The 18,481-nt window shown below is 42.8% G+C and overlaps 1 pseudogene, besides 1 other annotated feature; it reads left to right on the top strand.

Annotated features, from left to right (window-relative positions):
- Nucleotides 1,384-2,212, top strand: RPS4XP19 (ribosomal protein S4X pseudogene 19; annotated as a pseudogene).
- Nucleotides 3,458-4,133: an enhancer, noted in NCBI's record as "H3K4me1 hESC enhancer chr18:9022070-9022745 (GRCh37/hg19 assembly coordinates)". NCBI's record gives its function as "activates a minimal SCP1, AML or CMV promoter by ChIP-STARR-seq in naive H9 embryonic stem cells {active_cell/tissue: H9 hESC(naive)}" and the evidence as "EXISTENCE:reporter gene assay evidence [ECO:0000049][PMID:30033119]".

The raw sequence follows: 18,481 nt of genomic DNA on the forward strand, positions 1-18,481 counted from the left end.
TGAGATTGGAGATTATTCTGGATGACCCCAGTGGGCCCAATGTAACCACAGGTGACCTTCTAAGGGGGAGGCAGAAGGGTCAGAGTCCGAAAAAAAGAGAGCTTGGAAGATGCTATACTGTTGGTTTTGAAGATGGAGGAAGGGGCCATGAACCAAGGAATGCATGCAGCCTCAAGAAGCTAACAAGGCAAGGAAATGGATTGTTTCCTAGAGCCTCCAGGAAGGCAGTGTTCCTTAGACTTCTGACCTCCAGAACTAGCAGTGAATAAATGTGTGCTATTTTAAACCACTAAATTAATAGTAGTTTGTTACAGAAACCACAGGAAATGAACACAACTATTTCCACCTTTTTCTTTTTTTAAAACTGTTATTTTAGGTTCAGGGATGCATGTGCAGGTTTGTTATATAGGTAAACTCATGATATGGGGGTTTGTTGTACAGATTATTTCATCACCCAGGTACTAAGCCTAATACCCAGTAGTTATTTTTTCTGATCCTTTCCCTCCTTCCACCCTCTGCCTTCAAGTAGGCCCCAGTGTGTGTTGTTCCCCTCTTTGTGTCCACGTGTTCTCATTATTTAGCTCCCACTTATACATGGGAATACATAGTATTTGGTTTTCTGTTTCTGCATTAGTTTGCTAAAGATAATGGCTTCCAGTTCCATCCATGTTCCCAAAAAGACACGATCTCTTTCTTTTTATGGCTGCATAGTACTCCACGGTGTGTATGTACCATATTTCCACTGTTCACAATAGCAAAGATATGGAATCCACTTTTTTCTTAAATGAAAGTTAGCATACCCTGTATAGGGTAACCCAAAAGCCTTGGCGGAACTTTAGGCATGAATAACTTCAGAATTATAAATGCTACAAACAACATCACTTGGAAGTTGTATTATATAAATCTCTTTTACACTTATTTAGTTTTGTGAATTTTAAATAGTACATTTTATTTTTTGTTTCAGTATCTCTGATCGAAGATAGAAAACAATAGTGAAACAAAAACATTAAGTTTAAAATTTATTATTCCAAGTTCACAAGACTAAATAAGTGAATAAGAAATGTATACAAGGCTGAGCATGTTGGCTCATGCCTGTAATCCCAGCCCTTTGGGGGACTGAGGTAGGTGGATTGTTTGAGCTCAGGAGTTTGAGACCAGCCTAGCAACATGACAAAAACCTGTCTCTACCCAAAAAAAAGAAAATTAGCCAGGTGTGGTAGTACATGCCTGTGGTCCCAGCTACTTCAGAGACTGAGGTAGGAGGGTCGCTTCAGCCCAGGAAGTTGAGGCTGCAGTGAGCGGTGGTGGCACTACTGCACTCCAGCCTGGGAAACAGAGTGAGACCCTGTCTCAAAAAACAATAAAATAAAATAAAATAAAAAGCTCTTTCCATGCCTAATGCTGTCATGGTTGTGGTCCCAAGAAGCATCTGAAATGGGCAGCAGCTCCATAGCATTTGATGCTGGATAAATTGACCCGCGTGTTTGCTCCTCATCGATCCACCCATCCCCACAAGCTAAGAGAGTGTCTCTCCCTCATCTTTTCATAAAGAACAGACTTAAGAATGTCGGACATGAGATGAAGTAAAGAAGATTTGCATGCACAGTTTCATTAAGATCAATGGCAAGGTCTGAACTAATGTAACCTACCCTGCTGGATTCATGGACGTCATGAGCACTGACAAGACGGGAGAGAATTTCCATCTGATCTGTGACACCAAGGCTCCCTTTGCTGTACATCGTATTGCACCTGAGGAGGCCAAGTACAGGTTGTGCAAAGTGAGAAAAATATTTGTGGACACAAAAGGAATCCCTCATCTGCTGACTCATGATGCTCATACCATCTGCTACCCTGATCCCCTCATCAAGGTGAATGACACCATTCAGGTTGATTTGGAGAATGGCAAGATTACTGGTTTCATCAAGTTCAACACTGAGAACCTGTGTATGGTGACTGGAGGTGCTAACCTGGGAAGAATTGGTGTGATCACCAACAGAGAGAGGCACCCTGGTTCTTTTGATGTGGTTCATGGGAAAGATGCCAACAGCAACATCAACAAACCCTGGATTTCTCTTCCCCAAGGAAAGGTAATGCGCCTCACCATTGCTGAAGAGACAGACAAGAGACTGGTGGCCAAACAGACCAGTGGATGAAATGGTCTCTGGGTGACATGTTAGATCTTTGTAAGTAAGTAAATATAATATGGGCCAGGCGCGGTGGCTCAAGCCTGTAATCCCAACACTTCGGGAGGCCAAGGCAGGGTGGATCACCTGAGGTCAGGAGTTTGAGACCAGCCTGGCCAACATGGCAAAACCCCTTCTCTACTAAAAATACAAAAATTAGCCAGGCATGGTGGCTCGTGCCTCTAATCCCAGCTACTCGGGAGGCTGAGGCAGGAGAATCACTTGAACCCGGCAGGCGGAGGTTGCAGTGAGCCAAGATTGCACCACTGCACTCCACCCTGGGTGTCAGAGTGAGACTCCGTCTCAAAAATTAATTAAAATAATAATCATATGGCATGATTAATCTAAAAAAGAAAGAAATGTATACAATTAAGTTTTCAAATCATGTTTCTTCTGTGTTTATAGTACTTGTACTTCTAACGTTATAAAAGTTTCGAACTGCAGTAAGACTTTTGGGATACAGTGGATATTGCTCAGCACTTTGATTTTTGTCAGTGAACAATATATCCTAGGGTTTTTGTGTCAATACGCAAGGGCCTCTTTTTTTCTTTTATAGTTGTACAATGTCCTCTCCTGTTGGTGTACCACAGTTTATTTAGGCAGCCCTCTATTAATGGATACGTGGGTTGTTTTTAATTATGAAGTGTGCTACAGTGGGTAATCTTGTACATATATCATTTTGTGTTGTGCAGGTAGATCTGTAAGTAAATTATCAGAAGTAAGGATGTTGGGTCAAAACCCTACTCTTTAGAAGCAAGATTTGCATGAGCTTATTTGCAGGAAAGAAAAAAGAAGCAATAATAGGATGTTATAGATTGTTGGTAGATTGTGGTGGAGAGTGGTAGACTCTGGCAAAGATGGCTACAGTCCCGTCTCTGTGTGTGCTCCGGTTCACTGTGACTTTGTCGCTCCTATCATCAAGAGGTCAAGTTTATTTATTTACACATTTATTTTTATTGACACATGTTAGATGTACATATTTTCAGAGTACATGTGATAATTTGATACATTCATATAATCAAATCAGGTAATTGGGATATCCATCACTTTTTTTTTTTTTTGAAACAGGGTCTCTCTCTGTCGCCCAGGCTGGAGTGTGGTGGCATGCTTAGGCTCATTGCAGCCTGGACCTCTCAGGCTCAAGCGACCCTCCCACTTCAGCCTCCCCAGTAGCTGGGACTACAGGCTTGCACCACCACACCTGGCTAATTTTTTGTATTTCTTGTAGAGAAAGGGTTTCACCATGTTGCCCAGGCTGGTCTCAAACTCCTAGGCTCAAGCAATCCACCTGCCTTGGCCTCCCAGAGTGCTGGGATTATGGATGTGAGCCACTGCGCCCGGCCAATATCCATCACTCTAAATAATTTTCTTTTCTTGACGCTAAGAACATTCAAATTATTCTCTTCAAGCTATTTGGAAATATATAATCAATTAATGTTAACTATAGTCACCCTACTGATCTATCAAACATCAGGTCTTATATCTTCTCTCTCGTATATATTTGTACCCATTAATCAAAGGTTAAGTTGACTTCCTGACTCCTGGAATCTGGGCTGGCTAGTGACTGGCTTTGGCTAATAGAATGTGGAGAAAGTGATATTATAGGACCTCCATGCTGGAGCCTCGAGAAAAGGCCTTGCGGCTCCCTCTGTCTCCTTCTGAACCCTGAGTCCTCCATGAGAAGCCTGGGTGCCTCCACCAGGATGACAGAGCCAGAGAGTCAGAGAGCCAGCAGCCAGCACAAGTGGGAAGGCCGTCATGGACCATCCAGCCCCACTGGAGCCTGTGGATGACATGGAAGTGACCCCAGGCCAGACAGCAGGAACCCCGAGCCAAGCCCAGCCCAGTCATCAACCCAGAGGCCTGCTGTTGTTGAAAGTTTTGAGGTGCTTTATTATGCAGCAATAGAAAACCCATGCCTCAGGGAAGTAGTTTCTCTTCACAAAACTTATTTGAAAAGATATACAGTATGTTAGTCACAGCAGGTAAATAACTTTCAGAGTAGCCTGTGGACTGTCAGAAATTTTCTGAGCAAGTCCAATTCAGCTCATCTTGTTTAGCAGGGAGTGTAGGAACTATGGATCCATACCTCAACCCTGAGCACGCCCAAAACCTGGCTGACTTACCAAACTATCTCACTTTCACAAAGAGACAACGGAAGGCTGAGTGTGTGTCAGAGGGTGGCTAGGTGAAGGGGTCCCCACCCCCGCCCCCACCCACTGTGAGGCATTGCGTTTCACTGCTGGGCAGCTTCCAAAAGGGAAGGAAATCCACTCCTACAGCATCCCTTCTGACACACATTAAGGCTCTTCTGAGTTCAAAAAATCAGGAAAATGAAGAGTCTGAAAGTGGCCTGTTTAGCTTAATCAGGCTCAAAGGAAAAAATATGTTTGATTTCCATTTTTGAACTAGTATACCAGAGTTTTCAACATCAAGAAAATCAATTTAATGTGTTGCAACTAGTATTTTTATTTTTTTATTTTATTTTTTCTTTTTGTTGTTGTTGTTGTTGTAGCATTTATTTATTTATTTATTTATTTATTTAGAGATGGAACCTCACTCTGTCACCCAGGCTGGAGTGCAGTGGGGTGATCTTAGCTCACTGCAACCTCCACCTCCCAGCTTCAAGCAATTCTCGTGCTTCAGCCTCCGGAGTAGCTGGGAATATAGGTGTGCGCCATACTCAGCCAGTTTTTTTTGTATTTTTAGTAAAGACAGGGTTTCACCATGTTGGCCAGGCTGGTCTCGAACTCCTGACCTCAGGTGATCCGCCCACCTCAGTCCTCCAAAGTGCTGGGATTACAGGCATGAGCCACTGCACCTGGCCTGAATTTTTTTTTTTTTTTTTTTATTGTTCATTCTTGGGTGTTTCTCGCAGAGGGGGATTTGGCAGGATCATAGGACAATAGTGGAGGGAAGGTCAGCAGATAAACAAGTGAACAAAGGTCTCTGGTTTTCCTAGGCAGAGGACCCTGCAGCCTTCCGCAGTGTTTGTGTCCCTGGGTACTTGAGATTAGGGAGTGGTGATGACTCTTAACGAGCATGCTGCCTTCAAGCATCTGTTTAACAAAGCACATCTTGCACCGCCCTTAATCCATTTAACCCTGAGTGGACACAGCACATGTTTCAGAGAGCACAGGGTTGGGGGTAAGGTCACAGATCAACAGGATAAGAATTTTTCTTAGTACAGAGCAAAATGAAAAGTCTCCCATGTCTACCTCTCTCTACACAGACACGGCAACCATCCGATTTCTCAATCTTTTCCCCACCTTTCCCCCCTTTCTACTCCACAAAACCGCCATTGTCATCATGGCCCGTTCTCAATGAGCTGCTGGGTACACCTCCCAGACGGGGTGGTGGCCGGGCAGACGGGCTCCTCACTTCCCAGTAGGGGCGGCCCGGCAGAGGCGCCCCTCACCTCCCGGACGGGTCGGCTGGCCGGGCTGGGGGCTGATCCCCCCACCTCCCTCCCGGACGGGGCGGCTGGTATTTTTAAAAATCATATTTGTACACTCATGTTCATAGCAACATTATTCATAATAGCCAGAAAGTGGAAGCAATGCAATGTCCATCGATGAATGAAAGGATAAACAAAATGTTATTATCTATCTATCTATCTAGATTATGTGTGCATCCAGTGGAATATTACTCAGCCTTAAAAAGGAAAGAAATTTGGACACATGCTATAACATGGAGAACCTTGAGGACATTATGCCAAATGAAAGAAGCCAGTCACTAAAGGACAAATATGATTCCTCTTATATGAGGTACCTAGAGTAGTTAAGCTCAGATGCAGAAGTAGAATGGAGGTTACCAGAGGCAAAGGAGGGGAGATAGGGAATTACTGTTTAATAGGTATGGAGTTTTGGATTAGGAAGATAAAAAATGTGCTGGAGATGGATAGTGGTGATGGCTGCACAGCAGTGTGAGTGTAATTAATGCACAGAAGCATACACTTAAAAATTAACATGGTTCTTTTTATGATATAAATATTTTACAATAAAAAATAAAAAGAAGTGGAATAAAATATAGGTTGCATAGATGTGTTTATTGTGTGAAAATTTATCAAGATCTACACTTATAATCATGTACTTTTCTGCCTATTTGCTATGCTTCAATAACAGAATTAATTATTAAAAACCCAAATATAATAGAAGATGTCAGAATGCATTGCCCATAATAAGGGTAAGTGTTGTTTTGTGAAACTTTTGTTATAGTTAGAAGTGTGTGTATGTGCACACACACGCGTGCTGCATCATGATATTAAGTGTATTTTGGATTGTGGTTTTTAAAAAATTGAAGAAACGTTATGCTGGGGCTAGTCACCATTTCTTAGTGTGCAGTTCCTTCCATCTTGAATTTGATATGCTTTTCCCAGTGGAAGTAATTTAATTTTAACATTGATCTATTCAAGCAGAAAAATCCTTTCCCTGGGGTCTTTTCATCATAATCATTTTTCTTCATCTGACTGCCCACACTAACTAGATTGCATATGCTAGATTAACCAGTAAATTCATGAACAGACTTTATCATTTTGCTCCATGGACTGTTCATGAAAGCATTAGCAGCGTACATCATGATGAGAGATTATGATATGAGCTTTATGCTTCAATTCACAAAAACTACAGTTCCTTTAAACCATAGGGTGTTGGAATTTTAAAATTCGTTGGTGGTTATGGTTCTAAAGCTCTTGTGCTCATAGGAATCTCCTTTGTAACATCTAAAACAGTGGGTTGTTCATCCAGTGCTTGAACACTTCTGATGACAATAAGGCATCTCAGCCCATTGATTCATTGCTGGGTAGCCTCCAACTCTAGAAAGCTTATAAGGGTAGTTTTATGGCAGAATTAGGTGGTGAATCACCCTGGAGCCCGAAGAGGCATCTGTGATCAGCTAAGCCTTGGTCAAACAAACAGGTGCCTGGAACCATTTGTCATCCACATTTCAAAGACATCCTTCATGGGGCATGTGTATTGGTTTAAAAGGGTGCACTTTAATTTTCTGTGTCTTTTAATAGAATGGAGCACTTAATGCCAGGTACTTCTAAAACAGGAGAGGAGGCATTTCTTTAGGTATTGTGAACAAAGGATCAGTGACTGCACACTGATGAGTCCTTTCTATCTTTATGGTCCTGGGGAGAAGACTCTCATGACCATGGGGCATCTTTCTCTTGGATCCATGTGGCCCCTGCTCCCCACACCCTCCCTGTTACAGAGGGGGAGTGGGGAGTGGGGGCCCTGAGGTGCCCCAGCAATGCCTATGGCTGATGGGTGAGTCTAATTCTAGGGATCAGTATTTGGAAGTCCACTTGATTATATAAGCCACATCTTCAACTATCAGTTTTATCCATAATGAAGGTAGTATTTTGGCCTTCCTTTGCCTTATTTTTTTGACTTTAAGCATGTTACTCATTAGGCCACTGGAATGCAACAACATAGACTTCTATATCCAACTGGCTAAAGAAAGCTGCACAACTGGGCAGATTTGTGAAACTCCAAGTTAGACCCCAACCCTCTATGGCTATTTCTCAGCCCTTTTACCTGGCTTTGGCCAATTTCCTTTCCCATCCTCCTCACCACTTATTCCAAATCTTCCCCAATCATCAAGTCCCTAGTCCCTGTGCTTACTGCCAGCACACAACATCATCCCTCCGCCCTCAAAGAGAAAAGCGAGATGCCAGTGAAATAGATCTGCTCCCTCTTTCCCTTTTATGAAAGCTTCTCTTGGGAAAATAGAGAAAATGACAAGTCATAGACATTCTAAAATTATTAGACTTACAGGCAGGAGGAAAAAAATCTTTCTGTGGTTATCTTCAGTTACCAGTACACTGTGCAAGAAAAATTAAATGAAACAGTAGACAAAGTAAAAACTAGAATAGAGGAAGAAAAGAATACAAGAAAAAGAAGTAGACGAGCCCTCCCCCAAAAAGATACAATTATTTCACAGCTTTCTTGTCATATATTCACAGCATATCTATTTCCACCTGAACTTCCCCTGAGTCTTGGAGGATGAAGTGTCCTTCCTCAATAAAGGCAATTTCCTAAACTCAGGCACTAGTCTATTTTTCCAACCCCTCCAAGATGTTTTTCCAACAACTGTTCCCTTGCTCTCAGATTGTCAACTCTCCTTGACCACTAATTTATCTATTCAGCTTGTAAACAAGTTCCCTTGTCCCAGAAATATCCCTTAATCCTGTGCCCTGGGCCGGGCTGGTGGCTCACCCCTGTAATCCCAGCACTTTGAGAGACCAAGGCGGGCGGATCACCTGAGGTCAGGAGTTTGAGACCAGCCTGAGCAACATGGCGAAACCCCAACTGTACTAAAAATACAAAAATTAGCCAGGCATTAGGTGGCAGATGCCTGTAATCCCAACTACTTGAGAGGCTGAGGCAGGGAGAATCGCTTGAACCCAGGAGGCTGAGGTTGCAGTAAGCCAAGATCATGCCACTGCACTCCAACCTGGGTGACAGAGCGAGACTCTGTCTCAAAAAAAAAAAAAAAAAAAAAAATCCTGTGCCCTGTCCATCTGTACCCCATCTCTCTTAATATTTAATCCAGATTTTTCAAACACTTTAATCTACATCCTCCCTCACATTTATCCCTCCATAATATTCCTCATGCTTCCACCAGTGCCCCTTATGCTTGCAAAGATCAGTAATATTTCAATTCCCAGATCTCCTGATCATGGTCCACACAGAGTACTTGGCTGCACTACTCTCTTCTCCTTGAATGCTTTTCTCTCTTGATAGGGTCCATATTTTAAGCATATTTCCATATTAACTTCTGGCACGGCCTATCATGTTTAGTCATCAATACATTTCCAGCTTTAGATGTGTGAGTTAAAACTGAGGCTCTAGGGCATGGTGGCTCATGCCTATAATCCCAAAACTTTGGGAGGCCAAGACTGGAAGATGGCTTGAGTCCAGGAATTCAGGATCAGCCTGGGCAACATAGTGTGATCCCATCTCTACAAAAAATACACACACACACACACACACACACACACACACACACAAAACTGAGGCTCTGAAGAGAGAAATGGTGACCTTCTGACCAGCACTGGATTGCTGCTTTTATAAAGTCAATTTTATAAGGCAAACTTGAGAATTTCTGTGAAATTTGTACATGTTTTTTTCTAATTCTTCAGAGATCAAGAACTGTTCCTTGAGTACCTAGACCTCTGCTAAAGGGTAACTGTACTAGACCATGGCCATTTCCCATTCTATAAAAATTAGGACCCTCTGTTTATTGATAACATATTAATTTTCAATGAAGTGGTTTAAGATTTTAATGAAATTTTTTCTTCATATGGGGCATTCTTCATATGATTGGAGGATGAATTTGTCTTGCATAAATGAAAATCATAATACCAGGCTAAAGACACTAGAGTTTAAGACACTTGTCCATTAATCATTCAACTGCAGAAGTCCCAAGTGCTCTAAGTACAGTGAACTACTTTGAAAAAGGGGGAACCTGTGGAGCAATGGACCTATTATTTGCCTCCCATCTTCAGGACAGCAAGAGAGAGTTGTCAATCTTTGCGATAGGAGACAAAGTGAGAGTGGGTATGGACTTGTAAGAAAAAACTATTTTTCTCCTCATACCAAATGTGGATAAGTATGTGTATGGTTTTTCTACACCAAGCAGTTCTTCGATTATCTGCAGACACCCACTGGGTGTCCTACAATTCAATCAAATTCTGATACTATATACCCGGAGTTAGCATCAGATCTCACAAGTTAAAGGGCTCAGTCCCATAAGACTTTCCCCACATCAGACACCAATTGCAAGTCCCACACTGCATCTGTATTTCTGACTGCTAGCTACAAATCAGGAGTTCCCATGACCTCCTCCAAGGTTCAGTAATTTCCTAGAAAAGTTCATAGAACTTAGGAACATTTCACTCAAAAATGAATAATAATGGTGAAAAACTGAAAGTTTTCTCCTAAGATTAGGAACAAGACAAAGATGCCCACTTTTGCCACTTCTATTCAACACTATTGAATTATAGTCTGGAAATTATAGCCACTGCAATTAGGTGAGACAATCTTCCTTTCCAGATTGGAAAGGAAGAAGTAAATGATCTCTATTTGCAGATGAAATGATTTTATATATTGAAAATCCTAAAAATTATTTTAAAACAGTATTATAAGTAATAAATTCAGCAAAATGGCAGGATATGAGATCAACATACAAAAATGTTATATTTGCATATGCTAGCAATGAACAACATGAAAGGCAATTAAGAAAACAATTCCATTTACAATAACATCAAGAAGAATAAAATATTCAGATATCAATTTACCATAGAGATGTAAGATTTGTACTCTGAAAACTACAAAACATTGATTAAAGAAATTAATGAAGGCCTAAGCACTTGTAAAGATAACCCATATTAATGGATTGGAAAATATTTCTTTTCTCTTTTTTTGGAAACAAAGCCTTGCTCTATCACCCAGGCTGTCATAGCTCACTGCAACCTCCAACTTTCAGGCTCAAGTGATCCTCCCACCTCCCAACTAGCAATAACCACAGGCATGCAACACCACACCCTGCTAATTTTTTACTTTTTGTAGAGATGGATTCTCTCACTGTATTGTTCAGTCTCGTCTTAAACTTCTGACATCAAGCGATTCTCTTGCCTAGGCCTCCCAAAGTGCTAGGATTGCAGGCACAAGCCACCACAGCCAACCAGAAGACTTATTAATAAGATGGCAATACTCCTAAAATGATCTAGATTCATTGCAATCTGTAACTTTCCCTACTACACAGCAGCTAGATGACATAACAACCTCCACCACCCGGGTTCAAGCGATTTTCCTGCCTCAGCCTCCCAAGTAGCTGGGATTACAGGTGCCTGCCACCAAGCCTGGCTAATTTTTGTATTTTTAGTAGGGACGGGGTTTCGCCATGTTGGCCAGGCTGGTCTCGAACTCCTGACCTCATGATCTGCCCACCTTGGCCTCCCAAAGTGCTGGGATTACAGGTGTGAGCCACCACGCCCAGCCTGACTGAATGTTTTCTGAATGAGAAGAATCACTTTCAACTACTGTTATTGAAGCAGGATATTTCCCTGACCCCTTCGTGGGCGGGAACTGGAATGCATGGGTGCTAGAACTAGCTGGTCACTTTGGTGCCGGCAAGGGTGGACTCCACTCACTGGGTCCCGCTGTGTTCCACTGCTCACTGGAGGGGGAGTGCAGGTGAGTGGCTGCAGGAGCCGGGGTGAGTACTTTGGGTGCCAGCAGGAGCAGAGCAGCACTCCTTGTGGGCCCTGTGGGAGCATCTACCCCGCGACCCCTGAAGCCCCAGAAGGAGTACTACGGTGCCCTTTCAGTTTTGCCATGTGAGGACAGCTTAACTGTTTACAGCTCAGTGGAGGGTCAATGTGACAACCTTTTGTACCCGAGTTCTTGTCTGGCATCAAGGAGGAAGAGGTCGTGTGAACGAATTGGAGATAGTAAATGTGGGGGATTTTATTGCCCATGAAAGTGACTCTCAGTGGGAAGGGGAGCTGAAAAGGGGACAAAACTGGAAGGCGGATTTCCCCTGGAGTCCAGCCATCCCTGGCCAGACTCCTCTCTGAAGCTACGCTGTCAAACTGTCCCTCTGAAGTCAAGACACTTCTCTCTGATGTCCAACTGTAGTCTCTGACGTCCAGCTGCTTCTCCTCTCTGCTGGCTGAGTTCTCAGGTTTTTATGGGCACAGGATAGGGGATGGGGTGACCCAAGGGTGGTTTTGGAAAAGGCAACATTAGAGCGGGAAAACAGGGATGAAAGTCCTCGTTTTGGGCCACAGTTTTAGGCTCTTCGCCTTGAGGGTGGGGCCCTAGCAAGGGCCCAGAATTTCCCTGCCTCCTGTTGCTATCATTATTCTGCCCAGAATTCTGCCCAGAATTTCCCTGCCTCCTGTCCCTATCATTATTATATACTGAATGGATTTAGAAATTACTTTTTGTTGGCCAGGTGCAGTGGCTCATGCCTGTAATCCCAGCACTTTGGGAGGCTGACGCAGGTGGATTGCTTGAGCTCAGGAGTTAGAGAGACCAGCCTGGGCAACATGGCAAAACCCTGTCTCTACAAAAAATATATATAGATAGATATAGATATAGATACATAAAAATTAGCCAGGCATGGTTGCATGGTGGCATTTGCCTGTATTCCCAGCTATTTGTGGGGCTGAGGCAGGAGGATCACTTGAGCGAGGGAGATCAAGGCTGCAGTGAACCAGGTTTGTGCAACTGCACCCCAGCCAGGGTGACAGAGTGAGACTCTGTCTCAAAACAAGAAAATTAGTTTTTGCTGCAGATTTGACGATGTGTCTTCATTAAGTTAAGCTAAAATTACAAGGCAAAACAGCACTTCAATGCAAATGTTACACTATGGTAAAGTCATTTTAATGGTTAATTTTAGTTGTCAACCTTTTAAGTGGGTTAAGGAATACCCAGATAGCTTATAAAGCATTTTTTCTGGGTATGTCTGTGAAGGTGTTTCCAGAAGAGGTTGGCATTTGAATCAGTGGACTGAATAAGGAAGATCTGCTCTCATCCAATATGACCAGGCAACATCCAATCGGCTGAGGGCCTAGATAGAACAAAAAGGCAGAGGAAAAGGAAATTTGTGCACTCTCTTGTGCTCTCTCTCTCTCTCTCTCTGTCTCTCTATTCTGGAGCTAGGACACACTTCTGCCCTTGGACATCAGAACTCCAGGTTCTCCAGCCTTTGGATTCCAGGACTTGCATCAGCAGCGCCCCTGCTTCTCAGGCCTTTGGATTTGGACTGAGAATTACACATCAGCTTCCTTAGTCCTGAGGCCTTCTGACCTGGATTGGGCCATGCTACCAGCTTCCTTGGTTCTCCAGGTTGCATGTTGCCTATCGTTCGACTTCTCAGCCTCCATAATCTCATAAGCCAATTCCCCCAATAAATCTCCTTTTATATATTTGTATCTACATCTATATCCTATTGGTTCTGGTCTCTGGAGAACCCTAACGAATGCAGATTTTAGTGCTGAAAATGAGGTGGTGCTATAACAAACACCTAAAAATGTGGAAGCAGTTTTGGATCTGGGTAATGGGTAGAGGCTGGATCAGTTTTGAGCTGCATGCTAGAAACACCCTAGATGGCCATGAATGGAGCATTAAAGGCAGTTCTGGCGAGGGCTCAGAAGAAGAGGAACGCTGTAGAGAGCCTCGGTCTTCTTAGAGATTATCTAAGTGGTTGCAATCAGAATGCTGGTAGAGATGTGAACAGTAAAGTCCGTTCTAATGAGAACTTAAATGAAAATAAGGAAGATCTTTTTGGAAGCTGGAGGAAAGGCCATCTTTGCTACAAACTAGCAAAGGAACTTGGCGGAAATCCTTTGCTAGTTTGTAGCAAAGATGGCCTTTCCTCCAGCTTCCAATAAGATCTTGTGTCCGTGTTGTGAATTGTGTCCGTGTTAGTACTTTGTGGAAATCAGAACTTAGGAGTGATGAACTAGGATATTCGATAGAAAAAATCTCTAAGCAAAGTGTTTCAGGGTGCTGCATGGCTTCTCTTGACTGTTTATAATGAAATTCAGAAAGAGAAAAATGAATTAAAGATGGAATTTATATCAAAAGGGGAGCAAAGGGCTGGGTGCAGTGGCTCATGTCTATAATCCCAGCACTTTGGGAGGCCAAGGCAGAAGGATCACTCAAGCCCAGGAGTTTGAGACCGGCTTAGGCAACATAATGAGACCTCATCTCTACAAAAAATAGACAAAAATTAGCTGGGCATGGTGGTGCATACATGTAGTCCCAGCTACTTGGGAGACTGAGGTGGGAGGATCACTCAAGACTGGGAGATCAAGGCTGCAGTTGAACCGAGATTGTGCCACTGCACTCAAGCCTGGTTGAAGATAAGGAAAATTCTCAGCCTAGCCGTGTTGTTAAAAATGAAAAAGTGTGTTTGAGCAAGAACGTCAAGGGTGTGACCGAACACCCTTGCTAAGGAGATTAGTATGGACAGAAGGAAGCCAGATGCTACTCATCAAGACAATGGGAGAATGACTCCAAAGGCACTTCAGAGATCTTTGAGGCTGCCACTCTCGTCACAGGCCCGGAGTGCTAGGGCCTTGAGGGAAGAACGTTTCAAAGGAGATCCCAGGGCACCCATGGGACTTTGGGGCTCACTGCCCAGGGGCACCCCAAGCTTCGGTTCCCTGAATTCTGGTGCAGTACTCCTTGACCACCCCAGCTGTGGCTCAGGGGGCCAAGATGCAACTTGGGTCAACAATCCGGAAGGCACAGTATGTAAACCTTGGTGGCATACATGTGGGGCTAACTCTCCAGGCATGCAGAATGCAAGAACAGTGGAAGCATGGCTACCTCCACCTAGATTTCAAAGGGTGCCTCACAACCTCAGTCTCAAAGCTCTGAACTGCCACAAGGCAGGGTGTGGCAGAGAGTCCCCACTACGGCCATGCCCAGCAGAGCTACAGGGTCAAGACCACTGCAGGGAGCCCCCAATAGGGCAATGCTTAGTGAGGCCATGCAAGACAGCCACCCCTAAAAGCCCCAAACCTGTAGAGCCTGCAGTGCCAGCCAGCGGGCAGTGCCAGCCAGGAAGAGCCATAAGTATCCAACTCCAATTCCTGAGAGCTGCAGTGTGGGCTTCATCCAGCAAAGCCATGGTAGTGGGGTCTCCTGGGGGAATGGGGACCCAATCCCCACTCCAGTGCGTCTGGAAGCTAAGATGTGGAGTCAGAGATTATTCTCGAGCCTCAAGATATAATGTTGTTTGCCTCACTGGGTTCCGGACTAACTTGGGATTTATTACCCCTTGTTTCTTGCCTTTTTCTCCCCTTTAAGAATGGGAATGTCTACGCCATGCCTGTCCCATTATTCTATTTTGGAAGTATATAACTTGTTTGATTTCACAAGCTCACAGTTAGAGATAAATTTTTCTCAAAATGAGTCATATTTTGAGTTTCACCCTGAGTCTTATCCATATCTGATTTAGATGATATTTAGATGAGACTTTTGACTTAGATTTTAAAGTAGATACTAGAATGATTAAGACTTTTGGGGGCTATTGGGGTGGAATGAATATATTTTGAATATGAGAAAAACACGAATTTAAAGGGCCCGGGGTGGACTGCTACTGTTTGAACGTTTGTGTCTCCTCCCAAATTCATATTGAAATGCAATCCCCATTATAATGTTATTAAGAGGTGGGGCCTTTGGGAAAGTGATTAAGTCATGAGGGCTCCACCATCATAAATAGAGTATTGCCTTATAAAAGGGCTGAGGGAATCAGCTTAATCCCTTTTTGCCCTTCCACCAGGTGAGAGCACAGCAACAAGGCACCATCTTGGAGGCAGACAGCAGGCCTCACCAGGCACCAAATGCTGGTTCCTTAATTTTGGACTTAGCCTTCAGAAGCGTAAGAAATAAATTTATCTTTTTTTTTTTTTTTTTTTTTTTTTGAGACAGAGTTTCGCTCGCATCACCCAGGCTGGAGTGCAGTGGTGCAATCTTGGCTCAGTGCAACCTCTGCCTCCCGGGTTCAAGCGATTCTCCTGCCTCAGCCTCCTGAATAGCTAGGATTACAGGCACCCACCACCATGCCTGGCTAATTTTTGTATTTTTAGTAGAGATGGGGTTTCACCATGTTAGCCAGGCTGGTCTTGACTCCTGACCTCAGGTAATCCACCTGCCTCAGCCTCCCAAGGTGCTGAGATTACAGGCGTGAGCCACTGCACCCAGTCAAATTTCTCTTCTTTATACATTACCCACTCTATGATATTTTGTTATGGCAGCACAAATAGACTAAGACAGTCATTTTGACCACAACTAATGTTTGAATCATAAGTAATGTCAGTCTGCTTTATCTACTTCTAGTGCTAACAAAAGCTAAAATAAGAAGTGAGATCTTCATCCTGACACAATTTTGTACTGGATATATTATTCAAGTTCAAACTACAGTCCCAGCAGTATGTGGTAGACCTCAATGCAAGTATAAAGGAAATTTACATCTTTCAAAAACCTTTTAACTGTGCAACTGAGCTTCCACGTAAGACATTTGAAGGGACTGTCTACAATGTAATGACTTGCTAAAAAGCAAATATCAAGAGGAGAATCTCATAGAATTTGTAATGCCTTCCAAGTGATTAATATGCTCAATCACATGCTCATCTAAGACCAGGAATAAGGCAAAGATGCCCACTATCATCGCTACTATTCAAGATAGTACTGGAAGTTCTAGCCAGAGAAATTAGACAAGAAAAAGAAATAGAGCAGTAGAGGTTTGAGATGTTGGCCAGTTACATATGAGGAATAAGTTCAAGAGCTCTATTGTACAACATGGTGACTCTAACTAATAACAGTGTATTTTATTCTTGAAAAGTGCTAAAAGAGTAGATTTCAAGTTTTCTCACCACAAAAAGGATAAGTAGGTGAGGTAATACATGTTAATTAGCTTGATTTACCTATTCTGCAATATATACATAATTCAAAAATCATGTTGCACATGATAAATATGTACAATTTTAATTTGTCAATTAAAATAAGTTTAATTTAAAAAATAAAAGGCATAGAAACTGGAAAATGATAAAATTATCCCTGTCTGCTGATGACATATGTAGAAAACCCTAAAATGTCTAAAAAGTCCAGGTGCAGTGGCTTACACCTATAATCTCAGCACTTTAGGAGGCCAAGGTGGGAAGTTCACTTGAGCCCAGGAGTTTGAGACCAGCCTGGGAAATATAGAAAGACCTCATTTCTATATATTTTTTTAAAAATTAGCTGGCCATGGTGGCATGTGCCTACAGTCTCAACTACTTGGGAGGCTGAGGTGGGAGGATCACTTGAGCCTGGGAGCTCAAGGCTGCAGTGAGCTATGATCTTGCCATTATACTCCAGCCTGGGCAACAGAGTGAGACCCTGTTCAAAAAAAAAAAATCTAAAAAAAACTCTGTTAGAACTAATAAACAAATTTACTGAAGCTGTAGAATACAAAATCAACACTCAAAAATCAGTTGCATTTTAATACACTAAAAGTAGATGCACATATATATATGTGTGTATATATATATATATATATATATATGTGTGTGTGTGTGTGATTAATTGAACTTTTTTAAAGGTGCCAAGGTAATTTAACGGGGAAAGAATAGACTTTTAAACAAATGTTCTTTAAACAACTGGGAATATATTAGGATAAAAATGAACCTTGATTTTTACCTCATACCATACAGTCTAATGAACCTGACATGAATGAAACTTCTAGGAAAAAAAGATGAGAAAATCTTTGCAATCTTGGGGTAGGGAAAGATTTTTTTTTTTTTTTTTTTTTTTTTTTTTTTTTTTTTGAGACGGAGTCTCGCTCTGTCGCCCAGGCTGGAGTGCAGTGGCGGGATCTCGGCTCACTGCAAGCTCCGCCTCCCGGGTTCACGCCATTCTCCTGCCTCAGCCTCCCGAGTAGCTGGGACTACAGGCGCCCGCCACTACGCCCGGCTAATTTTTTGTATTTTTAGTAGAGACGGGGTTTCACCGTTTTAGCCGGGATGGTCTCGATCTCCTGACCTCGTGATCCGCCCGCCTCGGCCTCCCAAAGGGAAAGATTTTTTAAGATACCGGCCAGGAGCAGTGGCTCACGCCTGTAATTCCAACACTTTGGGAGGCCGAGGTGGGTGGTGGATCACTTGAGCCCAGAAGATTGAGACCAGCCTGGTCAATGTCTCTACAAAAAATATAAAAATTAGCCTGGCATGGTGGCATGCACCTGTAGTTCCAGCTACTTGGGAGGCTGAGATGGGAGAATGGCTTGAGCCCAGGAAGTCAAGGCTGCAGTAAGCAGTGATTGCACCACTGCACTCCAGCCTGACCGACAGAGTGAGATTCTGTCCCTGCAATAAACAAAAAGACACCAAAACATAGATCATTAAAGAAAAAAATGACAAATAGACTTCAAAATTAAACTTTTCTGCTCTTTAAGAAACACAAATAAGAAAATGCAAAAGCCAGCCATAGACTGAGAGGAAATATTTGCAGTATCTGACAGACTAATATTGAAAATATATGAATAATTCTTACAACTTAATAATAAAATAATAAATAACCCAATTTAAAATGGGTAAAAAAAAACATTTCAACAAAGAAGCTATACAAATATCAAATAAGCACAGGCAGTGGTGCACAAAGTCATTAATCCTTAGGGAAAGCAAATTGAAACCACAGGAGATACCTCTATACACCCACTGGAATGTCTAAAATTAGAAGCTTGAGGGCCGGGCGCGGTAGCTTATACCTGTAATTCCAGCACTTTGGGAGGTC

Source organism: Homo sapiens, chromosome 18 (assembly GCF_000001405.40).
Source record: "Homo sapiens chromosome 18, GRCh38.p14 Primary Assembly".
In the NCBI taxonomy this organism is placed as follows: Eukaryota; Metazoa; Chordata; class Mammalia; order Primates; family Hominidae; genus Homo; species Homo sapiens.